The following is a 25300-nucleotide window of genomic DNA, read 5'->3' on the forward strand; positions in this document are numbered from 1 at the left end:
TCCTGACCTCAGGTGATCTGCCCACCTCACCCTCCCAAAGTGCGGGGACTACTGGCGTGAGCTACCGTGCCCGGCCAAAACCTGCTTTTTTTTTTTTTTTTTATGGAGTCTCGCTCTGTCACACAGGCTGGAGTGCAGTGGTGCGACCTCAGCTCACTGCACCCTCCATCTCTGTGTTCAGGCGATTCTCCTGTCTCAGTCTCCTGAGTAGCTGGGACTACAGGTGCCTACCACCACACCCGGCTAATTTTTGTGTTTTTAGTACAGACGGGGTTTCACCATGTTGGCCAGGCTGGTCTCAAACTCCTGAGCTCAGGTGATCCACCCGCCTCACCCTCCCAAAGTGCTGGGATTACAGGCATGAGCCACCGCGCCCGGCCAAAACCTGTATTTTAAAAGGCTGTGCACTGGGGAGATGCAGATGCCTGCCCCAACGATGCTTATGTGGTGGAGAGTGCCGACAATAAACAATGCTTTAGCGAGTGGTCAGAGCCACGAGGACAGGCAGGTGTGACAAGGCAGAGGGTGATGAGGCGCTGCTGATCCAGTGGTCAGAGGAGACCTCTTGCAGGGGGCAGAATTTGAAGGGGCTGGGCATGTGTGGCTGGTCTCCTCAGTCACAGCCAGTGCCACGCTGTTCTTTTTTGAGACAGCCCTGTCGCCCAGGCTGGAGTGCAGTGGTGTGATCACAGCTCACTGCAGCCTCTGCCTCCTGAGCCCAAGTGATCCTCCCTCCTCAGCCTCGTGGGTAGCTGGGACTACAGGTGTACACCAGCAGCCCAGCCAATTTTATTTTTTTGTACAGATGGGGTCTTGCTACATTACCCACACTGCTCTCAAACTCCTGGGCTCCAGTGATCCTCCCACCTCAGCCTCCCAAAGTGCTGGGATTACAGGCATGAGCCACCGGGCCCTGGTTCACAGACCACCCAGGAAGCTCTCCCAGGAGGGCAATGTCTCGGGTCCTCAGTACCTTATGCTCCACTGAACCCGGCAGCTGCTGTGTCAATATTTGCAGGTGGAGGCAAACACAGGGCAGCTGCATCTCACGAGGATTTGAGGAGTACGGAGAAGCGGCTCTTGGTGCTCCCGGGAGTAATTTAGGGGCAGTTTCTGGCCCAGTATTGCTGTCTCTGGAAGCACTGTAGGACATGTAGAGTTATCCTTGGGGTCAACTCTAAAGGCCAAGCGCATGTGCAAAATTATGTACACACTCACGTACGCAGCTTGCTCACTGGTGCCCCAAACACCTATCCCTTCACCACCGTGTGACCGCGGCACGGGGTGCCCTGACAACCGGGGAGGCTGAGGAGAAGGGACCTCGGGCTGCAGCCTCAGCTCCATGGCTCGCTACCTCTGGGCGGGTCTCAGCCTCCCTCGGGCTCAGAACCTTCTTCTGCGCTTGACTTTCCCAGGAATTGACTCCAGTTTCCCAGGGAGCTGCACTGGGCTATGTCTGGGTTTGGTGATGTTGTGTGGCGTCCGTAGGTGTCCTCATATAAATTGGTGGCTGGCCAGGGGGACTAGAGATGTCTAACTTGCTTGACTGGTAAGCACATCAGGTGCTTCCCAAAGTGGATTCTGTTGTACACCAGGGTGACGGACAAGGATGCCCACGTCCTAATCCCTGGGACCTATGAACACATTGGTCTCCAAGACAAAGGGACCTTGCAGATGTGATTAAGGTGAAGGAATTCGTGGCTGGGTGTGGTGGCTCATGCCTGTCATCCCAGCACTTTGGGAAGCCAAGGCAGGAGAATCACCCGAGGCCACGAGTTTGAGACCAGCTTGGCCAACATGGGGAAACCCCATCTCTACTAAAAATACAAAAACTAGCCAGGCATGGTGGCAGGTACCTGTAATCCCAGCTACTTGGGAGGCTGAAGCAGGAGAATCGCTTGAACCCGGGAAGCGGAGGTTGCAGTGAGCCAAGATTGTGCCACTGCACTCCAGCCTGGGCAACACGGCACGGCTTCATCTCAAAAAACAAAGAGAAAAGCTCTCCTAGTCCACCCAGCTGACCAAAGAAATGGCTGAAGGGCTGAGGTCTGAACCCACCCAGCAGTGAGAGCAGAATCCGAACCCTGATTTGTCACCATCGTATGACCAGGTAGGAACAGCCTCACCTCTCCCGTGGGTCACTGGGACTCAAGGAAGCCCTGCCCCTCAATCCGGCAAACCTGTTAAAAGGCACGGCATCCCCGTTAAACGTCGACTTTATGGTTGTTGGGTTTTTTTGGAATCAAAAGGCCCTGTTCTAACTTTGCCTTTGAAATTATGTGACTAGGAGTCATGCATGCAATTTGAGACTGGCAATCATCGTGGAGGCTTGGGAGTTCCTTGGGAATAAGAAAATCTAACCTAGGAGCTGTTTTGAAATGTAATGAAATCTTTATGAATACAAAATTTAGCAATTGGTGAAGTTGACACATTTTGTAGCTGTGGAGACATTTCGTAAGGTCTTAATTCTACTTTTTCTTTCTTTTTTTTTTTTTTTTGAGATGGAGTTTCGCTCTTTCACCCGGGACTAGAGTGAAGTGGCGCGATCTCGGCTCACTGCAACCTCCGCCCCCCAGGGTTCAAGAAGTCTCCTGCCTCAGCCTCTCGAGTAGCTGGGATTACAGGCACCCACCACCATGCCTGGCTAATATTTGTATTTTTAGTAGAAATGGGGGTTTCCCCATGTTGGCCAGGCTGGTCTCGAACTCCTGACCACAGGTGACCTACCCGCCTCAGCCTCCAGAAGTGCTGGGATTCGAGGCATGAGCCACCGCGCCAGGCCATAAGGTCTTAATTCTGATTCTGCTGTTTTCTTTCTGTATGGCTGGAGCTGGTCATTTCCTCACCGGGACCCCCTCCAGACCTCTGGCATTGCATTTCGCCAGGGCCCCTGTGAAACATGAGCACCCGAGGCTCTATTCCTGTAGGGCTCCCCAGGGCCTGCCAACATGTATTAAGCATTTACTGTATGCCAAGCTTTTTATGTGGATTAACTAATCTTTGTAAAGATCCCATATGGCAACTACAATGATTACTCCCTCCTTCCAGTTAAAGCAGCTAAAGCAGACAGTAATGACCTGCCCGTGGGCAGGCAGGTAGTGAGAAGGCTGGGTGCCAGGCAGTTGGCTCCTAAACTTGCTCTCAAGAAGCTCCCTGTTTCTGCCCCAGTGGCTCTCATTCCCGTGATGCCCCCACAGCTCCCCCTCCCCTTTAAAAATGTCTTTAAAACGATGGGAAATGATACATAACAAAATTCACCACCAAATGGTATACCAAGGCCAGGCATGGTGGCTCATGCCTGTAGACCTAGCAACTTGGGAGGCCAAGGTGGGAGGATGGCTTGAGCTCTGGAGTTCGAGGCTGCAGTGAGCTATGATCGCGCCACTGCATTCCAGCCTGGGAGACACAGCGAGACCCTGTCTCGTAAAAAAGGGGAATTGGAATCTTCATATAGTGCTAGTAGGAATGTATAATGGTACCACCACTGTGGAAAAGTCTGGCTATACTTCCAGAAATAAAACACAGGGAGTTACAAAGTCAGCATAGGACCCAGCAATCCCAGTCCCAGGTATATACACAGGAGAATGGAAAACAGGTGTTCAAACACATACATATCCATAAATGCTCACGGCAGCGTGATTCACACACAACTGCCCAAAGGGGGGAACCACCCACACGTCCATCAGCATCTCCTTTTCATAACACGTATTTTGTTCCACCCACCTTTTCTCTCTTGAAATAAAAGTTGAGTTAATATAACGTACCTATGCTCAATTATTAAAGAAACAGGCCAGGCGCGGTGGCTCACGCCTGTAATCCCAGCACTTTGGGAGGCCGAGGTGGGCGGATCACTTGAGGTCAGGAGTTCGAGACCAGCCTGGCCAACATGGTGGAACCCCGTCTCTACTAAAAATACAAAAATTAGCTGGGCGTGGTGGCAGGCACCTGTAATCCCAGCTACTTGGGAGGCTGAGGCAGGAGAATCGTTTGAACCTGGGAAGCGGAGGCTGCAGTGAGCCCAGATCCTCGCCACTGCACTCCAGCAGTGACAGAGTGAGACTGTCTCCAAAAAAAAAAAAAAAAAAAAAGGAGGGGGGGGGGAACCAGGACACAAACACGCTTGCAGGAAGAAGGCCACATGATGAGGATGGAGGCCGAGACTGGGCAATGTTTTTACAAACCAAGGAATGCCCAGAGGTGCTCGGCAGCTGTCAGAAGCCAGGAGGCTCAGGACGGAGCCTGGGAAGGACACAGCCCTGCCCACACCCAGATCTCAGACTCCTGGCCTCAAGAACTGAGAGCCAATGAGCTTCCTTAGGCAGTCTATGGTGCTTTGTGACAGCCGTCCTGGTAACTCGAGTGCTTTGTTTCTGCGTGGAACAGAGCTGGTTCCAGGCCCGGCTCGTTGGAAAGGGCAGGGCTCTTCTGCCCCCATAGGATGTCCAGTGGGACTGGTTCCCTTTCCAGCTCCCATAGAGCAGCCTGGCAGTGGTTGAGCCCCTGCTTCATAGTTCAGGAGGCCACACCCACCTCCAGGAAGGGGTGCTCCGTGACATCTGAGACACCGAGGTCTGAAAACAGGGCCTGCTCCCAATCCCAGGCTGCCTCCTCAACGCAGGCTAAGCCTGCCTTTTATTGCCCAACAGGGAAGCTCTCAACCCCAATTTCTAGACTCTGGCTCGTCGGGGAGACAGGCAAGCCGCGAAGACCCCATGTGCAACACAGAGGCGGCGTGGCGCCCAGTCCACCTGCCACTGGAAAATGACTCCAGAAGCCGCCACCGTGGGGGAGGCTCCGGAATGCGTTCACGGCAGCTCAGGCCCAGACAGGACGCCGAGGGCCAGGGCCAACCTGCCTTTCATGCTCTGGTGTCTGTGGCAAGCTGGGCTGGATTTTAACATGGCTTTTTAAAAACTTAACTTCCCAGCGGGGGCGGGGGGAACTCCAGCAGAACCGGCAGTTGGAGGAGGGGCCTGCGGGTGGCTGTCCTAGATACGGAGGGGAGGAAAAGAGGTCCCCAGCAGGTGGCCCTGCCAGTTAACTCTCACCACACCACACCGGGCTGGGCTGCCCCTCCCGCCGAGAGGGCACTAGGCCAACCCCATGCACCATCCTCTGCCCCAAGATGCCTGCAGCCCCTACCCCTGGCCAGCACCAGCTCCGCTCATGCACCAGCAGTTCTGAACAGAACAGCTGTGCCTCACAGTGGCCGGCCCCTGGAGGGCCCTGGCACGGAGGGCTGCGCGCATGGGCCGGCAGCCTGCGGGCTACCCCGGCCAGCGAAGTGCCTCATCTGGCACAGTCTTTAAGGAAGAAAATGGGCATCACACTCAAATGCACTTTTGCAGACAAATGGACATTTCCAGAAGAACGGAGGGACCAGTTCTACCACGTGGGCCCATCACCGAGTCAGCGCCATCCCACTCCTAACCAGCTGCTGGCAGCAGACACTGAGCAGGACACACTTGGCAGCCAGGGGAGGGGCGGGCCCACCACACACGGACCCTCCCTGACAGAGCCCACCACACACCAGCATGGGACACAGCCCCAGACTGAGGTGGCAGGGGGAGGGCTCCCCAGGGCCTGGCACGCCCTCACCACTACCCACGCAGAGACAGGCTCGGGGTAAAGGGATTGGTCTGAGGGCCCTATGGTGCACAGCACCCCCTGAAGAATTCCTAGTTCCCATGGGCTGACTCCCCAGCCTCAGTTTCATCCCATGATGGGAACCCGGACAGCCCACTTCCTGAGGTGGTTATGACAACTCAGCAGGATGATGCAGGCAAAAGACTTTGGCAGCACCTGGCAGAGCCAACAGTCACCATGTGGTCACACCACTGCGCCCAGGGTTGGTCCCATCCCGAGCTCTACGGCCACCAGGACTCACGCATGTGCACGCGCACGCAAGACTGCGAATGGTAAACTTTATTAATGGAAAATGGAATGCCTCGTTAACAGAAACCTTGATTTAAAAATGGCAGAACAAGAACACATTTATTTAAAAAAAAAAAAAAAGTGAGTTCACATTGTATTGAGCTACAACATGGTGGCAGGATTTACTTTGCTTTTAAAAAGATCCCCCAAGTTCGAGGGAACCCTGGCTACCAGATTCAACAGTGCGTCTGCCCACCCGAAAACTCGCAGCGAGTGGGACTTAGTAGCGGCGGGTGAAGTGGGGGTACGGGGGGGGATGAGGGTGTGGGTGAGGGACTCTGCTGCCCCGGTCCTGGCTGGCCACTCCGCCACCTTCCAGTCCGCCACCTGGCACCACGTGGCCCTGGGAATGTCCACCTTGTGCAAAGCCGCCTCGCCTAGGAACAAAGTCAGACAATTTTTTTCCCCTTGAAGTGCTCAGCGTTTTCATCGTAACATGGGTTCAGTAACGGTCCCGCAGCCTTTAGAGCGCTTGGGTTTTTTTTCCAGGTGAGAAAAATCATCATCGCACATTGTATTCCAGGTAACTCAAGAGCGTTATTTGCATAAATTGCAAAGAGCTGCTTTTTGCTTTGTTTTCATAACATCCAACCCAGCCAGCTGATCAAACATGCAAAAAAGGGAGAGGAAGTGAGGAGCAGGAGTGAACCACCGTCCTCCACGGACGACACACCTTACCCCGCCACTCCACCGCGGCTTGCCATGTGCCCCGGCCCCGAGGGCCCAGACAGGCCCCTCTCGCCACCTAGAAGAGAAGAAGGGTCTGCAAACACTCCGTTCCTGGGGAAGCCCCTGGACACATGTGGGGGCCACAGCCACCCTCGTCCCTGGAGCCAGCCCCGTACCTTGCCACCTGGCGTGCTCCCGGCTAGCCGCGCCTGCGTCCATGGCACCCTGCCAGGCGCGTGCCTGGTGCTCCTCTAGCCGCTGGTTGTGCTCTCCCCAGTCACGGCCACCCCTTTGCCAAAAGAAAAAGACATGCAGCCATCTAATGAGCCTCCAGGGTTGTGTCGGCAGCAGGCGCACCCACCCTGACCTCAGCTGCATGGTGGGTCATGCCACACAACAAGGGCTGCATGTCAAGTGGGCAAATCAAGGGAAGGGACATTTCCCCAAAGACAGATGTGCTAGTAAGCACGTGAGAAGGTGCTCAACGCCACCCAGAAATGCCAATCCGAGCCACACCGAGATGCTACCTCCCCCTGGCTGGGATGCTAGAATCACACAATAACACACACCGTGGAGGGTGCGAGGAAAGGGAAGAACCCTTGTCCACTGCTGGTGGAAATGTAAAATGGTGTGGCCACTGTGGAAAAGTTTGGTGGTTCTTCAAAAAGTTAAGCGCAGAATTACCATGACCCAGCAAACCCATTCCTACCTGCCAGAAATGAAAACATGGCCAAAGACATCTGTGCATGAATGTTCCTAGCGGCAGGATTCCTAACAGCCAAAGGGAGAAGGACCCCAACACCCATGAACTGATGAGCAGATAACACTATGTAGTGTGTCTGGACCATGGAATGTTCAGCCCTAACTAGGAAGGAAGCGCTGGCCCAGGCAGCATGTGGAGATGAGCCCTGAATACCCAAGGCTTAGGGAGAAGCCAGGCCCAGCAGGCACACCGCGCAGGCCAAGAAATGACTCAAGACGGCAAATCCAGAGCCAGAAAGGGACCTGTGGCTACCAAGGGCAGGGGGGAGGGTGCAGCTGCTAAAAGGGGCAGGGTTTCTTTTGACGTGATGAAAATGCTTCAGAATCAGCCGTGGGGATGGCTAAACAGATCCACGTACACGCAAACCTCCACTGACTGCACACGTGAAACGGGAAGTGTGTGTCGTGTGAACTATACTTAAAGAAAGCTATTTGTTTAAAGTTTCAGACAAACTCTGGGAGATGAAAATCCGAGTCCAGTGTCCTGAGTCCCAAGTGGCCAAGCAGTCACAGTGGCCGTGCAGGAAAGCAGCCAGACCCATCTGCACGAGTGCCTGCCTGCTGTGGGTTGCCGGATGCAGTGACAGTCAGGCCAAGTGAGCCAGCCCACAGGCCCGAGAGGGGCCACCAGAGCCCCCAGCGCGCACTGCCAGGCAAGTGCAATACCGCCCTGGAGGGAGCGGAAAGCTCCCGTGTGGAACCTGCCCTCGGTGACCCGATGGCGCCCAGCCGCTGCTCACCATGGGTGAGTTTCCCGTTTACACTCCCGAGGTATTTACCATAACACCCAGCAAGCGACAGGACAGGAATGCTAATGAAGTCTCACAGGAGAGAACACTTCACACCAACTGATCAGAGCACTGCCACCGTCTGTGCTGCCCAGAGATTCAGGAGAAGCTTCGGGTGTCCTGGGACACTCGGCACAGCACCGAGTCAAAGTCCCTGGCAGAGCTGGAAGTGCCTCTCAGCGCGGAGGGAGGGATGGAACGGGGGAGCACAGGGGGCCAAAACCCACCCTGTGGCGCTGGGCAGGGTCCGAGGCAGCCCTGGGCCAGGGCTGGAGACAAGACAGGACACTCGGCTCACAGAGGAAAGCAGGGCAGCAGCCGCAAAGCAGTCCTGCCACCAGCCTCCTCACGGCCAGCCCAGACGGCAACAGGACAAACAGGCAGGGGTGACTGCAGCTGGCCAAAGAAACTAGAGAGGCACCCAGAGTCCTCCCAGACAAGCCCTGCCCCCCACCAATGCTGACAAGGCTCAGAACAGCACCCCCACTGCAGTGCTGGTGAAGGTGGCTTTGGACACCTGTGGAGGACCTGGCCCAGTGTCCTCAGCCCTGAGTCCTGGGTGGAGGGTCCTCCTAAGTGATTCTAATAGGCAGGATAGGGTTGAGAAGATCCACCCCAGACCAACTGGGGGTCAGAGAAAAAACCCGAGGAAGACACGTGTCAAGAGGCAACGTGGAGGCAGGGGCGAGGCTGCTCTACCACGGACGGGGCAGGACTAAGAGCTTCAGCGCTGTCTCTCCCAGTGTGTACGCAGCCCATGATCGAGACATTCACAACTGCAGGCGACCCCCAGCTCAAGAATGGGGATGGGCCATTCTGGGCGACCTGGACAGCTCCATCCCTGAAAGCCTGTTCTATGCTTTCTTCTTGAGAACCTGGACTTTCTGAGTCAGGGGTTTCAAATGGCAGGACCCCTGGTAGCCCATCCTAAAGCTCCCCTAGCTGAATCAAACCTTGGGGACGTGCCTGGCCAGGCACCAACCTTTTCCCAGGTTAGGACAGATGCTCCCCACCCGGCTGGGGCTCACCCACTAACCTGGGGGGAGGGGGCAGCCCCCGGCCTTCACTCAGCCTCTTGTCGGAGCCGTAGCCCCCCCAGCCATCACGGGAGTCCCGGCCGTGGCGCTCTGGGGGTCCTCCGTGGCCATGGCGGTCATCTCCATAGTGCTGGAAGGCAGGAGAGGAACAGGGTGACACTGACCATGTCACCCACATAGGCCCACCTTCCGGAAGGCCTGTCCACTGCAGGCCCCAGGGTGGCAGGTGGGGCGGAGCTGAGAGAGGACTGAAGGGTGCAGTCTCAGCCCTGCTGGGCCCTGCTTCACTGACCCTCTGCTCCCTGGCTCCCCTCCTCGCACCCCTACAGCTGCATCACTGCCCCACCTGAGCTGCCCCAGGAGCCAGGGCACCCTGGCATTACTGCCCTCAACAGCTCTGCTCAAGATCCACTAAGACGTCACCAAACCCTGTCTTCCCTGAGAAGTTGGGCGCCGCCTCCTTTCCGATAACAGGAGGGCCCTCGGGTGGGTCAGCCCCCCTGTGCTCTGGCAGGGCCACAATTCCGGCCTCCCTGGCCAACCAACTCTGCACGGAGCAGCCAGCAGCCAGGAAGCAGGCGGGTGCTGCCTGCTGTTACAGGCCATTACTCTGCCGCCCACCTCCCACCTCTCCACCAGGCTGCTGCTTTCTCAGAACTCACACCCTGCCACCACGCACGGGGCACCCGCATGGCACCACAGAGACTCAGGGACCATTCTTGTGGTCTTCAGCCCCCCGTGCCCACCAAGCACGGACTTGAAACATGGGGAAGCCCGGGCTCCCCCATCCCCCCGACCCTGGCACATGTGGGCTAAACGACAACCACCATTTGGGTTCTTGGGGGACCCCACAGGCACTAAGACCCAAAGGCTCCCTGAGCAAGTGGACAATGAAGAGACACATGAGGTTTCTACCGGATACAATGAAGAACAAGCCCAACATATTTGAAAATGACAGAAACTTGAGCATTACAAAACAATCAAATATTTGCGCTTTTTTTTTTTTTTTTTTTTTTTGAGACGGAGTCTTGCTCTTGTTGCCCAGGCTGGAGTGCAATGGTGCGACCTCGACTCACTGCAACCTCCGCCTCCCGGGTTCAAGCGATTCTCCTGCCTCAGCCTCCCGAGTAGCTGGGACTACAGGCACTCGCCACCATGCCTGGCTAATTTTTTGTATTTTTAGTAGAGACAGGGTTTCACCATGTCGGCCAGGCTGGTCTTGAACTCCTGACCTTGTGATCCACCCACCTCAGCTTCCCAAAGTGCTGGGATTACAGGCATGAGCCACCACGTCCGACTAAATATTTGTACTTCTAGTCGCTGGCCAGAACCCACACTTGCATACCCGCCACACGTGCTGACTTGGTTGCCACCTCTCTGGGATCAAGCGGCCGCCTGGCTAGAAATGGTCCGCTATGCCTGCACAGCAGTACAGTGGCCCCAGGGCTTGGCATCGGGGCTCTACTCACCTGCCCATCCCGGTGGTCTCCCATCATTGGCCTCGAACCCTCCCGCCTGCAAAAGGAAAAGATCCCGTTCAAACAGCACCAGGCACGACTACACATTTCTGCAGGTCAGGCAAGTTTCGCGACTGGGATACTTTTTCCATCCCATCACATAAAAACTATAACTGGCCTGGGAAAAAAGGAAAAAGCTAGCTCAAATCGAAAGGCTTTTCCCCGGGGGCAGAAACGAAGTTGGATCCTAAAGAGGTAGGAATAAAGATCTCACTGAACTAAAATTCCTCGGGGAGCTCTCAGTTAGGGGAACAGGGACAAACAGAGGCCTCCAATGATCCCTCATCTTTGGTCTGACCCAATGCGTGGGACTCATCAAAATTCACACCAACTCCACCCCAAACTCCAGCAGAATTAAGAGTGTGGCCTCTCAGCCTCCCTTTCCTGTTCTCCCCGCTCTGACATTCCGACTGAAGGAGCCAATGAATGGGGAAATGGGTCAGAGATGTGCAGCCGAGGGGAGCCCAAAGACAGGATTCTTACACTGGAAAACCAAGGGCTGCCTTTTTAATAAACTAGATGTATTCCTCATTTTAAAAGGCTAAAAAACCCACCCAGACCCTCGAAATACAAAACAGGCCTCATGAGAAATTTTGCACGTCCTCCATCAATTCTCTGGTAGCTCTTGGGCACAACCAGGTTGTGCTGACAAACACTGCTGCCTCACAAGAGAGCTCAGTGTAGATGGCCTGCACTCAGGCCCCTCCTGGCCCACCTATGAAAAGAGTCGGTGGATGGAATGAGCTCTGAGATGCCTTCCTCTGAGGTAAGCTGGGGATTCCAGCAACTCGCTCAAGTTCTGTGCAAGGCCAGAGTCATCCACTGTGGATCTCAGAAGTAAACGAGGCTTCAGAGCACACAGGAACCCCTGCACTGGGCTGAGAACGAGGTCAGCTGGATGCCCCGGTGCCCACAATGACTGTAGCTAAAGGAGGGGACAAGACCACTGACCTGTCGATGGCGTGGTCCTGGTACTGGCCCCGGTCTCGATGATCGAAGTCGTGAAAGCGGTGGTCTGGCCGGGGAAAGTCTGCACGATATCGGTCCTCCATTGCCACACGCTTTCCTTCTGGCCAATAGGCATCATCTCGTCTGTTGGTTTTTATTTTAAAAGAATACAAATTCCATTAATGAGAGAGGAGGAGGAAAAAAGGAGGAGGTGGAGGTGGGGAGGGGAGCTCTCTCCCCAGACCCAGTATCGTTTAAAATGTCCTGCAGGGCTAATCTCTAAACATTCGATCATCATTGCTTTGATCTGATAAATTAAAACCGCCATTAACAGCCGAGAGGCACACTTGTGTTCTCATCCAACAGTCCCAAAAGGAGCACTGCTGTGAGCTCATTGTCTCGTGAGGCTGTTATTACCTTGATCCCCCCTCATGAGCAACTGAAAAGAAATATTTGATTCTTCTGGAATAGCATTCGAGTTGCCACACTTTTACTTTCCCTGCCTTCCACGGGAGCCTGAATCTCCCTCTGAGTTTCTTGCAAAAGCAAAGAGAATTAGATGGGGTGATAGTGAACTACACACAGCTCTGGACGGCATCCAATTATCTTCTTCCTGATTTTTACCAGAAAACTAGGCTCACGGAGAGCGGGGTGAAGGGTGACTGTCAATTAAGCCGCCTGGGGTAGCTAGAGACCAATAAACCTACTTTCTAAATCAGAGGCAATTTCCTTTTCCACAGCGCCTGCTCTGCCTCTCTGTCTACAAGGACACATGAGACCGGCAGAGTCAGCGGTGGCCAACTTGGGCCTAACGGGCGTTCGGTTGTCTCGCAAGACAGAGAACAGCTATGCTCCACGGGTAAGTGGAGAGGAAAAGCATCACAAACCCTTCAGCAAGTGGCAGCCATCAAGTTTCCCAGAATAACTCAAGTTCAGGAAGATGCTACACAGCCTCCGGTGAGGACAGCGAACTAATAAACCTGCAGCAGCGCAGTGAGATCGGCGGGGGGTCCCCAAGGCGCATGCTCCATATCAAATTTCATTCTCCCCACCGACAGGGACGGAAGGGAAGCCGCTGTTCTGCTGGAAGGGTGAACACCGCTGCCACGCTGGTCTCCGTCCTGCCCACGCTCTGGGCGGGACTCACCGGTCCAGGTCGTAGGGCCTCCGCCCGGGCCGCCGCTCCTGCTCGTAACGCAGCTGCTCCTGCTGGCGCCGCAGCTCCTCGCGCTCGCGGTGGATGCGCTCCTGCTCCTTCCTGCGCTCACGCTCCACGCGCATGCGCTCGCGCTCCAGCCGCTCCCGCTCCATGCGCTCCCGCTCCAGCCGCTGGCGCTGGCACTCGAGCTGCAGGCGTTCCCGCTGTAGCCGGGCCTTCTCCTTCCGCTCATGGAAGGCCTCGAGGCGTTGCTCCCGCTCCCGCTGCTCGCGCTCCCTGCGGGGACAGGTGAGGCTGCCCTGAACTCCCTGCGTGAGCCTCCAAGGAGAAAGCCCGGTGCCCAAAACTGGGTGTGTATTGGAAGCAGAAAAAAAAAATGGATCCAAAAGCTCACCGGGCTTCCCTAAAGCTGCGCGTGCAGGGGGTTACCTTACTTAACAAAGCTACCTTAAGAAAAGCAAAGGCAGCACAGCTGGCAACATTTCTAGGTTTGCTCGAGAACATTTTCCAAATGCTGTGAGCACAGCTTTTGCTTTACTGAGCAATATTTGAGGAAAAGTGACAAGAGAACGCCGGGCATCCCGACATGAAAAGGCCGAATGTCAAGGCAGAGGGACAAGCCTCCTTCAAGACCACAGCCCAGAAGGGAGCCGCGGCAAAATGACAACTGGACTCTGCTTGCAGTTTCTGACCTTAGGTGAAAGGTTTCAACAGGGAAGACAGGCCTCAGCACCCAGGCACCATCCCATCCCATCAAAGCCACACACGGCTGGGCCTTCCACACGGGCCAAGGTCCAACATCAGAGGAGGGGCGAAAATAGACTTTGAGCCAGCAGAAGGCTCAGCCTGTAATCCAGCACTTAGGGAGGCTGACGCAGGAGGATCGCTTGGGCCCAGCAGTTATCAGCCTGGCAACATAGCCAAACCCCATATACTGTAAAGGGCTTTGATGACTTCTTTTTAAGAGACAGGGTCTCACTCTGTCACCCAGTCTGCAGTGCACTGTTGTGATCACAGCTCACTGCAGCCTTGAGCTTCTGGGCTCCAGCAATCCTCCCACCTCAACCTCCTGAGTAGCTGGGACTACAAGTGCACGCCACCATGCCCAGCTAATTTTTAAATATTTTGTAGAGGTGGGGTCTCGCTACATTGCCTAGGATGGTCTTGAACTCCTGGCTTCAGGGGATCCTCTGGCCCTGGCATCCCAAAGTGCTCGGATTACAGGTGTGAGCCACTGCACCTGGCCCTTTGATGACTTTCATGCCACCTGGCATGTCTGGCGGCTCACGTGTGAACAGGTGCTGGCCCCTGCCTCGAGGACCCAGGTTAAGCACGACACCCGCCAGCCCAGGCACTGGCTCTCGGGCACACAGACTGCGCACTCCAAGTACAGCTGGGAGAAGGACAGCCACCCCGAGAGGAAACCACCAGCCCACAGCCTCACCCAGCTCCACTCACCGCCGCCTCTCCGTTTCGCGGATCTCCCGTTCCCGCTGCCTCTGGCGCTCTCTCTCCCTTTGTTCTTTGATTTTATCAAACGACAAGATGTCTCTCTTTTCTTTGCTTTCTGACTTGCGATCCTGACTCTTGGAGCTCTGTTTACCAAAACTGGTTTATTAATGTCAGGAAAATGATTGCAACAAACAAACAATGGAGATTATGCACGTGTGCATGAGACTAAGATTCTCTGGCCCCACATGGTGTAGATGGAAGGCTGTGGTCTCCAGACCAGAGGCCCAGGCATAGGCTGCTTCCCTCCAAGTTTGCATTTTACTGCCTAATCCAGAATCCTGCTTTCAGATGTCAAGGGGCATTCATGGAAGAGAAGAGGTTGGCCCACGCCTCAGAAAACCTACAGGCACAGTTCTTCTAGCATAGCACAGCCAAGGACTCACATAATCCAAAGCAAACCTAGGCCTCTCAGAGCCACGGGCACATCCGCACAGGGCCACTGTGGCCATTAGTTCAGAGGGGACAGCAGTCAGGCCAGCTGTTTGGACAGCTGGAGGGCAGACTACATGTTTCACATCTCAACTGCTGGCTCAGGACTCAGGCAGACAGCTCTAAATAGAATATGCCAGGCCGGGCGCAGTGGCTCACACCTGTAATCCCAGCATTTCAGGAGGCCAAGGTGGGCGGATCACAACATCAGGAGTTCGAGACCAGCCTGACCAACATGGTGAAACCCCGTCTCAACTAAAAATACAAAAATTAGCTAGGCGTGGTGGCGCATGCCTGTAATCCCAGCTACTTAAGAGGCTGAAGCAGAAGAATCGCTTGAACCTGGGAAGCAGAGGTGGCAGTGAGCTGAGATTGCGCCACTGTACTCCAGCCTGGGTGACAGAGCGGGACTCCGTCTCAAATAAATAAAGAGAATATGCCAAAATGCTTTAATGCAAAACAGTGCTCCTAATAAGGTACAGAACACTAATAGCCAACTTCCGTAATTTATTTTTTGTAGGTTTTTTGGGTTTGAGACCCAGTCTTGTTCTGTTGTCCAGCCTGGAGTACAGTGGCTCAGTCACAGCTCACTGCAGGATCAAGTGATCCTCCCACCTCAGCCTCCTCAGTAGCTGAGACCACAGGTGCACACCACCATGCCTGACTAATTTTTCTATTTTTGTAGAGACAGGGTTTCGCCCTATTGTCCAGGCTGGTCTCAAACTCCTGAGCTCAAGTGATCTGCTGCTTCATCCTCCCAAAGTGCCGGGATTACAGGTGTGAGCCACCGCACCCAGCCTACATTCATCATTTTCTATCTGTGGCATAAAGCTCAGAGCTGTAACAACTGACTCCCATTTCCAAGGTTCTCCAGGGCCCCTCACCCAAACTGGCTACACATCAGACCCTCCCAGGAAGCTTTTAAACAACACAGAACCTGAGGCCTCCTGCTGATCCACACAGAATCTCTGGGGCAGGGGCCTGGGAAATGACATTTTTAAAAAGCTACTCAGTTTATTTCCCTAATTAGCCCCCATAGGAGAGAAAGAGCGAGCAATGAAAAACAAACCAACCCAACAGAAAGACAGGCAAAGGTCAAGATGAGACATTACACCAATTATTAATAAAATGCAGGCTGGGGAGAAAGGGGCACACAGACACAGGAGAGACACACATCACCCAGCACTTTGATGGCAAGCTTTGCCTACGAGACGGGCAGATGTCTTACACACACTGCAGTAGAATAAGGTGACAGATGCCCACATACCACCGCACAGTGGGCAGCACAGCAGGCAACAGTGTCAGCACGGGACTCCTGGGTTCTCAGGCCAGCTTAGCCACTTACTAGCGACCTGGCAGGTGCAACACACCCAGGAGATTTAAGTCCCCTCCACAACCTTTCTGAACAGCACTTTATTTCAAAATTTAAACGTTAAAAGAGGCTGGGAGTGGTGGCGCACACCTCTAATCCAGCAAGTTTGGAAGATCAAGGCGAGAGAATCACTTGAAGCCAGGCTAAGCAACAAAGTGAGACACTCCCACCCTTTATTTTTTTTAATAGGTAAATATCATGCATAAAATAAAAAATATATGTAAAAGCGAAAAGAAAAAAAAGCAAAAAGGAAAAAAGCCAAACCGTATGTGTCTGTATGTAGAGACCTCCAAGGCATATTACACAGAAAGTGCAAGCTCCAGCACATCCTCTGTCTGTGGTCCCATGGCAGGCACAGGGGACGTGTGTGCAGAGGAAGCCGAGGAGCCCAACTGGACACACGGAGGCTTTAGTATGCCCGTGCTGCATCTCCTCAAGCTGACCAGATGTTCTAATCATGCATGTGTCATCACTACTTGTTTTCAACATCACAGTTACATGGGGGTAAGAGTATGGGTCTTTTTCAATGTTCTACTCTACATTTCTCTGTATCTTATGATTTTCATGTGAAAAATGACATTAGGAACTGATACTTTATAAAATCCAAATGTTCATTTTAAAAACTAAGTCTTGGTTGGGCACGGTGGCTCAAGCCTGTAATCCCAGCACTTTGGGAGGCTGAGGCGGGTGGATCACTTGAGGTCAGGAGTTCGAGACCAGCCTGGCCAACGTGGCAAAATCCCGTCTCTACTAAAAGTAAAAAAATTAGCCTGGTGTGGTGATGTGTGCCTGTTGCCTGTAATCCCAGCTACTCGAGAGGCTGAGGCAGGAGTCGCTTGAACCCAGGAGGCAGTGGTTGCAGTGAGCAGAGATCACGCCACTGCACTCCAGCCTGAGTGACACAGCAAGACTCCATCTCAAAAAAAAAAAAAAAAAAAAGTTAAGTCTTAACAACACAAAGTGGTCCTGGCTGAATATGGTGAACTCCACATTCGTTAAAAAAGTACTGTCACCTCATGAATATCTTAGCTAGAACCTGCAGCTGGGAAGCAGAGGTTTTTATTGTTTCCCAGAGTGAAAAACGCAAATGAGACGCTATTTCGTCTAGTTGTGTGCACAACTCGAGAGGTACAGCTCTTGATCTGATAACATGACCAGCTCTCTGTCCTAGGTTGGTCTCTACCTTTTTGGTTAATTTAATAGGAGACTAAAAAACCAATGGAAGAAAGTAGCCTGCTATTAAGTCAACCAAAGAGTAGGACCTGCCTTCCGGCTCGAAAAGCCTGGGTCTGGCCCATCCCACCCTATGGTGAGCTGCCGTGTGAACCAATGCTCTGTCTGAAGGCGGCACATCCCGGTCAGGAGCCAGTAAGGGAAGCAAACACGGATGGGCACTGCTCTGCAGAAAGCACCAGGATTCATGTGTGTGTCTGTATCCGCAATCTACACAATTATCGCGCCTCCTACAAACTTCAATTTTAAAGGCAAAACAGTGCTGTTTTCATAATGCGGATCAAACGGGCCGTGGAGCCATCGTGAGAAACAGCTGGCCCTGAGATGGCAGAGGCAATACTCACTCTCTCTTTGGACCTGCTTGTGGTTTTCACGCTAATGACGGGCTCTCCTTTCGATTTATCCATCACGACCGTCCGCTCCATTCCTCTGCTTCCTTCAGGAAAAAACACAACAAACTATCAAAACCTGTGGACGCCCCAACTTCCCGCAGTAAACAGCACTCTGATGGACCCTGGGCTTTTGAACACACAAGGCGTGAGTCAAGTGACTGACACTAGCCTTGGGAGCCTCTAATTCTCATCTATTGTGAGCAACACGGTAACACGGGCACAGCATCATGGGGGTACCCTCACAGCTCTTTACACAACTAGAGGGACCTGTTCCCAACCTACAGCTTAAACCTGCAGCACGCACACAAGCACGGCCATCCTGCAGAGCCCTCCGTGACCCTCCACTCTAAACCCACACAGCTCCGGAGCTGGTCTATGCTGTCACTCCTCCCTGACATTCTGTGAAGCTCCGCAGTATCCAGCCTGTGCTAGGAATCACACTGCCACTCTGAGGGAGTGCCTTGCCAGACGGGTGGGCTTCCCTCCATTCATCTCCAGCAATAAAGGCTTCCAAACCAATTATCTCTCCTGACGACAGAACCACCAGGCATAAACCACTGGAACAATGACTTATTTGGGGAGATTTATAATACTTGAGGAACATTTTAAAAACACGTTCCTCGTGAGACTCAGGGTAAATTAGCCCGAGAGCTGAAGATCCAGCTTGTAATGTGCTGTACCAAATTTCAATGCTCCAGATGGTTGGGTTTTGTCTCTGTTTTTCTCTTCCTTGATGGGGGAGGTGGAGTTGGCTTATTTTTTTTTGCCACTAAACATTCTGAGTCTCATACAGATTCAAAGGTGTAAAGCACAATGAACCTTTATAAAATGACAACAGAAGTGGCATCGTCCAAACAGAACCACTTCAACAGATGCTTGGAGGTTTCATTTTTCTCTGTGTTTTTACTACCTCCAGCTTTAACATAATGTGGGAAAACTTTACTGCACACCTGCAAAATAGCATCAGGTTAGTTACAAGAAACTCGGACAACTCACTCTTGCAAATCCCACACTACAATCAGCCAAAGGCCCTGAAAAAGCCCAAACTCAGGCAGCTGAGTTCAGCAATACACATAAGCCCTGAGTCCCAGGCACTTCTGGATTCCCGATGTTGTATGGACACTCCTTTAAGCCATTTCATCAACAGACTCTTGTTTCTTTAACACTGCCATATGAACAGCGAAACAGCCATGTCACCAGAGCTTGCTGTCCTCACCTTCCCTCGGAACCCCCACTCCCCACCCGTGCCAGGCCTTCCCCTTCCACAGCTCTTAAAAGGCTCTCCTCACCTGATTTGGTGACTCTAGACCGATTTGTAGGTCCGGGTTTCAGCTCATCCTGGTCTTTTTCTTCCTTCTTAATGTCTTCAGGCTTTTTTTCCTCCTTCTTCTCAATCTTCTCTTCCTTCTTAATTACAGTTCTATTTAAAGACATGGTTATCAAATTTGAGTTCACAAGACTCTGTAACAGGAACGGCTCACCCAGAGCCTCGACTCACACATACTCAGACGTCCACACAAAACAAATCACCCCGGCAGCAATTAGGTGGGAAAAATTATTTGGAACCCATAGTAATAACAATACTCCTCTTTAGATACAGGCTGTATTCCCACTTCTAGTATGTGCTGAATTGAGGGATATGCACAATGAAATTCCTGGGGATGCGTTTCCAAAATGTCAGACAGGCTAGCACGCAAGAGTGGTGTGCAGGTGGACATGAGAAACACGCCAACTACATAAGAACACTTCTAAAAAGTTTAATGTTTCATCATGTATGTGTGGAACATTGTTTATAAGCTTTATAGGGAAAAGCATTTCTTCCCAATACAGCCTCAACGGGATGGAGGCACAGTGGCAGGACACCAAGCCCCCACTGCACAGAGCGGCAGGCCATTTACCCGTGAGGCCAACACCCCTCGACCGGTAACTGCTGCATACTTTTAGGGAGTTAAAATAATGTGTTATGTGCCAGTGAATACGGGAAGGTGTTAAGTGCCATTTCAACCAAAGGCAACTTTCTTCTAAGCAGTGAAATAAATCATCTTCGCCACTCAAACTCAGCTGCTGCGTTCCCTAATGCCATTTGTCTCAGGCAATTAAACTGCACACCGACTCAACACCAACGACATGCCAGGGTCCAGGCAGGAAAGTCAGGCCCCTGCAAGGCCCTCCAGCAAGCACCTGTTGGCCTCTCCTCCAACCGACCCAGGCAGGGTTCCCGGCAGAGCTCCAGCCATGCCAGGGAAGCCTCTCTGATTGCCCCGTCTCCTCTGCCCTTCTCAACCTCCACATCATGGAGTTGTCTTTAAAAAAAATATATATATACCATTTTGAGAAAAATTTTAAATACACACCATAGTAATTAATGGTACATCCCAGAACTGACTATTGTAAATCATCTCATCTCCTCTCCCTCATCCCTGCGACAACCACCAGGGTGGCCTTAGTGTCAATCACTGGGTCTGCCTGACCGCAGTAATCTACAGTGACATTTTGTAAGAATGTCTTAGGAGTGACACGAACGAGGCCATACTTCATACACTGCTTACTTTTGTCACCTCATGGTATGCTTTAAAGAAGGGTTTTTAGGCTGGTCGCGGTGGCTCATGCCTGTAATCCCAGCACTTTGGGAGACCAAGGTAGGCGGATCACAAGGTCAGGAGTTCGAGACCACCCTGGCCAACATTGTGAAACTCCGTCTCTACTAAAAATACAAAAAAATTTAGCCAGGCGTGGTGGCGCATGCCTGTAATCCCAGCCACTCGGGAGGCTAAGGCAGGAGAATTGCTTGAACCCAGGAGGTGGAGGTTGCAGTCAGCCGAGATGGCGCCACTGCACTCCAGCCTGGCAACAGAGAGAGACTCCATCTCAAAATAAATAAATAAATAAATAAATAAATAAATAAGAAGGACCTTTAGATCCTGAGACAGAACTTAGGGGGAATAAAAAGGGTCTGACTCCTTTCACCTGCTGCACAAAATTCTGTGTTTATTCATCTGCTTTCCTTCCAGTAGATAAATATATATGCTGGAAAAAAGACTGGAAGGATATCCAACAAAAAGCATCATCCCTAGGTGTTGGGATTACCCCTGACATTTACATGTGCTTTCTGTATAACAACTGTATAAAAACCACCACTCATCCAAGATGGCAAAGGCTAGCCCCTCTTCTTCCCCTCTTTGGAAAGCTTCTCTATTTCACAAGGCCAACCACTAATCTAGAAATCCTTCAAATGGAAGGGAAGGCTAATGAAGGTGTTAATTTGAAGAAAAAAATAAGGTCAAAACAAATTTTTAAATGCTCAACCTCCTAGGCAAACAACCTGCATGCAGTTTGGTCTTAAAGATCTTAAGTTCGCCGGGCGCGATGGCTCACACCTGTAATCCCAGCACTTTGGGAGGCTGAGGTGGGTGGATCACGAGGTCAGGAGATCAAGACCATCCTGGCTAACACAGTGAAACCCCGTCTCAACTAAAAAATACAAAAAAAATTAGCCGGGCGTGGTGGTAGGCGCCTATAGTCCCAGCTACTCGGGAGGCTGAGGCAGGAGAATGGCGTGAACCCGGGAGGCGGAGCTTGCAGTGAGCCAAGATTGCGCCACTGCACTCCAGCCTGGGTGACAGAGCGAGACTCTGTCTCAAAAAAAAAAAAAAAAAAAAAAAAAAATCTTAAGTCCATCACCCAGTTAAGAGCCATGGGGCTCCGAGCAAACTTCATAGGTTGAATCCCAGCCTTGCCGTTTCCCAGCAAACTCAGGCAGGGCGCGCTCCCCTCTCTAGGCCTGTATCCTCTCCTACATAGAGCAAGTGCCTCACAGGGCTACTACAAGGACCAAGGAAACTGCTGCATTCCCAGTGCTGGCCACAGGACCACACCATACTGTTAGCTAATTATTACCGCCTTTCCCACAAATACAGAAAAACAATTAATGAAACACGCAAGATACCAAGAACACCGCAAACCTGCAACAACAGTTCCCCATCTTCCACCAATACAGACATTTTTTTCTTAGCAATGCTGATGGGATGTGTCTTTTTGAAGTTGCTGATTAAATTAGAGGGCTCACCGCCCCCCCCACCCCCCTCCTCCAAGTTCATGAAGGCTCATCTGACACTCATTACTCAGGGGCCTACTGATTTCAATCTGGGGCCAGGTGCAGTGGCTCACACCTATAATCCCAGTCTTTTGTGGGGCCAAGGTGGGAAAATTGCTTGAGGCCAGGGTGGAAACCAACCTGAGCAAAAGAGCAAGACCCTGTCTCTATCAAAAATTTAAAAATTACCTGGGAGTGGTAGCCCACACCTGTAGCCCCAGCTACTAGGGAGGCTGAGGTGGGAGGTTCACTTGGGCTTGGGAAGTCGAGGCTGTAATGAGCCATGACTGCATCAATGCACTCCAGCCTGGGTGACCCGTCTCAAAAAGTAAAATGTTTTTTAAAAATAATAATTCCAATTAAAAATAATAATTCCAATTTGGCCATGATGTAAATTGGTAATTACATCTTCAAAAACCCAGTTCAACTATGTCCACAGACATGTTTACCCTCTAAACTGCGTTGACAACGTAAACTTAAGGCAGACACTCAGCCTTCTGAGACACTGCCATGATCAGATACAACACGGAAATCTACCTTCTCAAAAGAGAAGCCTACAATTGTGTTAAAAATATAAACAACCCACACCTCCCTTGAAAGATCTGTCCCTACCTCCATTTTGATTAAAGATATAAATCACCCCTTTATAAAAATAGAACCTCAGACCCATGGTTCCCAACTACTACGCCAAGGTACGCCAAGGTACCCCAAGGTGCCACCGTGAACTCACAGGGTGCCACCGTGAACTCACAGGGTGCCACCGTGAGAACTCACAGGGTGGCACTGTGAACTCACAGGGTGCCTTGGAATATTTTTAATTTTGAGGTAAACACAGCAATGCTTTTGCCATCTGTCAGACACAGCACCAACTGCTCACTCAAGGTCATTCACTGCAACACTAGACCAGGCTAAATTCCTTTGGATGATGCTTTATCTTTGAAAAACTGGGTGTATGACAGTTGCTGTGATTAATAAGTGAGAACTGCATGAAAATCAACGTGGATGAGGAAATGATTCCAAGGTCTGAGAGGCTGTACAAGGGACCAGAATATGGAAAATGACATTTTGTGTATACTGTTTTTTCAAAAGGCTAATCAGTTATCAGGAAACAAATACATGCTGAGGATCAACTGTATCCACTTCTTAAAGACATGGGCTACTTCGTTAAATAGCTTTACACAGAAAGCTGAAGACTGGCAGGGCGTGGTGGCTCACACCTGTAATCCTAGCACTTTGAGAGGCCAAGGCGGGCAAATCATGTGAACTCAGGAGTTTGAGACCAGCCTTGGTAACATGGCGAAACCGCGTCTCTATAAAAAGTAGCCTGGCTGGGTGGTGTACGCCTGCAGTAGTCCCAGTTACTTGGGAGGCTGAAGTAGGAGAATCACTTGAACCCGGAAGGTGGAGGCTGCAGTGCCACTGCACTCCAGCCTAGGCAACAGAGTGAGTCCCTGTCTCCAAAAAATAAATAAATAAAAGCTGAATATTAAAGTGGCAGCAGAACACAAAAATCAGCTGAGACTCCAGCAGGAAGCTGGCAAGGCTGCGTGGGTACAGGTGGGGACAGATGCGTGTTTTTCAAGGCCCATGGTGGCTGCCCGTGCCCTCCTCCCAGGGATTCCAAGAGGAGGTTTGAAAATTCACTTTACTTTTCAATTTTGATCTCCACAGAATGATGTCTGTCGACACTCGATAATTTTTCCTTCTTCACTTCGCACTCTTTTCTGTCGGAAAGCTTTTTCCCAGCAGGCTCATTTTTGGCCTAAAATATAATAGACAGAAATGATGTGTGGCCCAGAGCTTCTCACTTGCAAACTCCATTTGCGAGTTACCATAGACGAGAACTGCCTCACCTTCTCTACGGAGATCATTCGTCCATGCAGCTCAGTTCTGTGGAGATGGCTGATGCACTTGGTCGCCTCGTCAGATGTCGACATGGTGACGAATCCATAGCATCGAGCCCCCGGGCTGCGGGCGTTCGTTACCACTTTGGCCCCGACAACCTTCATGAAAAAGGGCACTCTTACTCTCTCATACAAATGACCACACAACTTGCTAAAGTTATTACCTGGCAATCAGAATCATTTTCACTATTTGTCACCTCTCCCCATATGGTAGTTTTCCATTTTAGTTACTGAATTGGTTCTAATTAATCCTGACCTATCCAAATACAATTGCTTTTTTTTTTTTTGAGACAGTTTCGCTCTGTCACCCAGGCTGGAGTGCAGTGTCGCGATCTCGGCTCACCGCGACCTCCGCCTCCTGGGTTCAAGCAATTCTCCCGCCTCAGCCTCCGAAGTAGCTGGGATTACAGGCGCCCGCCACCACGCCTGGCTAATTTTTGTGTTTTTAGTAGAGATGGGGTTTCTCCATGTTGGCCAGGCTGGTCTCCAACTCCTGACCTCAAGTGATCTACCCAAGTCGGCCTCCCAAAGTGCTGGGATTACAGGCATGAGACACCGCACCCAGCCACTAAATACAACTGCTTTTAATACAAGATAAGTCATCACAAGGAAAACACACAAACATGCAAGGTTATAAAACCATTAAACTTCATTACTCACAACTAATAACCAGAAGTCCTACCCATCCACATTGTTTTCTCTATTTCCACTGTGCCCACAAACAGCTGTGGGGCTACTAAGAAATGCACCCATCCACTCCAGCTGGGCCTGAGAAGAGCTCTGACACAGACATGGACTGTCAGAAATGTCCCCATGGGGAAAGGACTTCCACTTCTGGCTGAGATGGGAGAACTAAGCATTGTCTTCCTGCCTGAAACAACTAACAAATGTGATGAAACGTAGGCAACGACAGTTTTCAGATCCTGGACATCAGGCTGCCCAAGACAACAATCCCTGAGAGCTCCCTGACTGCCCCTGCTCACTGCCTAGATTCCCAGGCAATGGGGGATGGGTAAGACAGCACTGAGATTCTGAGACCAAGACAGAGAGAAATCACGGAACTGAGTATCAGAGAGGACACAGCCACACAGAGCCACGCAGAGCAAGCTGAAGAGACCCACAGAGGGTTCCTCCCACCCAGTGCACACGTGTGCGAGGAAACCAGAGGCTGGGACAGCACCACCCATAAGGAGCAGAGGGAACAATCAGGAGCAGAGGGAACAACCACTGGAGGGGCACTCAGGGCCACAAATGGTTTGCTCTTCCCAATAGCCAGGGTGGAAAGGCTGGTAATTCACGGGCCATCAGACCCACTACTCAGAGGGCACTGCCCAGTGGTGAGACAAAATCAGCCCAAACTGAAGGCTACTTTGGCCCTGCCTTAGTGTGTGTCCAGTACCTCAGCTGTGTCCCAGAAAAAAGCTCAAGGGTATTTGTAGAGATACAAGTATAACTAGCACCCAAAAAATACAATTCACAACATCCAGTAAAAAATTACCAGGCACAGGCTGGGCACAGTGGCTCATGCCTGTAATCCCAGCACTTTGTGAG

The 25300-nt window shown here is 51.9% G+C and overlaps 1 protein-coding gene across 2 annotated transcripts in view, besides 6 other annotated features; it reads right to left on the minus strand.

The window, feature by feature from the left end:
• Positions 4751 to 4810: an enhancer, noted in NCBI's record as "active region_13803". NCBI's record gives its function as "activates an Ori minimal core promoter by ATAC-STARR-seq in GM12878 lymphoblastoid cells {active_cell/tissue: GM12878}" and the evidence as "EXISTENCE:reporter gene assay evidence [ECO:0000049][PMID:35858748]".
• Positions 4751 to 5971: a biological region, named in NCBI's record as "Sharpr-MPRA regulatory regions 733 and 12449".
• Positions 4790 to 5084: an enhancer, noted in NCBI's record as "tiled region #12449; K562 Activating DNase matched - State 5:Enh". NCBI's record gives its function as "activates a minimal TATA promoter and a strong SV40 promoter by Sharpr-MPRA in K562 cells {active_cell/tissue: K562}" and the evidence as "EXISTENCE:reporter gene assay evidence [ECO:0000049][PMID:27701403]".
• Positions 4830 to 5124: an enhancer, noted in NCBI's record as "tiled region #733; K562 Activating DNase unmatched - State 5:Enh". NCBI's record gives its function as "activates a minimal TATA promoter and a strong SV40 promoter by Sharpr-MPRA in K562 cells {active_cell/tissue: K562}" and the evidence as "EXISTENCE:reporter gene assay evidence [ECO:0000049][PMID:27701403]".
• Positions 4979 to 5971: an enhancer, noted in NCBI's record as "H3K27ac-H3K4me1 hESC enhancer chr19:5586078-5587070 (GRCh37/hg19 assembly coordinates)". NCBI's record gives its function as "activates a minimal SCP1, AML or CMV promoter by ChIP-STARR-seq in naive H9 embryonic stem cells {active_cell/tissue: H9 hESC(naive)}" and the evidence as "EXISTENCE:reporter gene assay evidence [ECO:0000049][PMID:30033119]".
• SAFB2 (scaffold attachment factor B2) overlaps positions 5911 to 25300 on the minus strand; it is a 35778-nt gene continuing 16388 nt past the window's right edge. The window contains exons 10-21 of one of the 2 annotated variants that reach the window (NM_014649.3): positions 23699 to 23848; positions 23495 to 23607; positions 19042 to 19172; positions 17705 to 17796; positions 14273 to 14409; positions 12803 to 13090; positions 11659 to 11799; positions 10660 to 10705; positions 9190 to 9320; positions 6780 to 6892; positions 6613 to 6679; positions 5911 to 6311 (exon numbers count right to left, since the gene is read on the minus strand). In NM_014649.3, the coding sequence (NP_055464.1) occupies positions 6155 to 6311; positions 6613 to 6679; positions 6780 to 6892; positions 9190 to 9320; positions 10660 to 10705; positions 11659 to 11799; positions 12803 to 13090; positions 14273 to 14409; positions 17705 to 17796; positions 19042 to 19172; positions 23495 to 23607; positions 23699 to 23848 (1566 nt within the window). In that variant the 3' untranslated portion in view covers positions 5911 to 6154. Of the gene's footprint in view, positions 6312 to 6607; positions 6680 to 6779; positions 6893 to 9189; positions 9321 to 10659; positions 10706 to 11658; positions 11800 to 12802; positions 13091 to 14272; positions 14410 to 17704; positions 17797 to 19041; positions 19173 to 23494; positions 23608 to 23698; positions 23849 to 25300 lie in introns of both variants that reach the window. The other variant, XM_011528449.4, reaches the window with a different exon arrangement.
• Positions 8068 to 8690: an enhancer, noted in NCBI's record as "H3K4me1 hESC enhancer chr19:5589167-5589789 (GRCh37/hg19 assembly coordinates)". NCBI's record gives its function as "activates a minimal SCP1, AML or CMV promoter by ChIP-STARR-seq in naive H9 embryonic stem cells {active_cell/tissue: H9 hESC(naive)}" and the evidence as "EXISTENCE:reporter gene assay evidence [ECO:0000049][PMID:30033119]".

This window comes from Homo sapiens, chromosome 19 (assembly GCF_000001405.40).
Source record: "Homo sapiens chromosome 19, GRCh38.p14 Primary Assembly".
Taxonomy (NCBI): domain Eukaryota; kingdom Metazoa; phylum Chordata; class Mammalia; order Primates; family Hominidae; genus Homo; species Homo sapiens.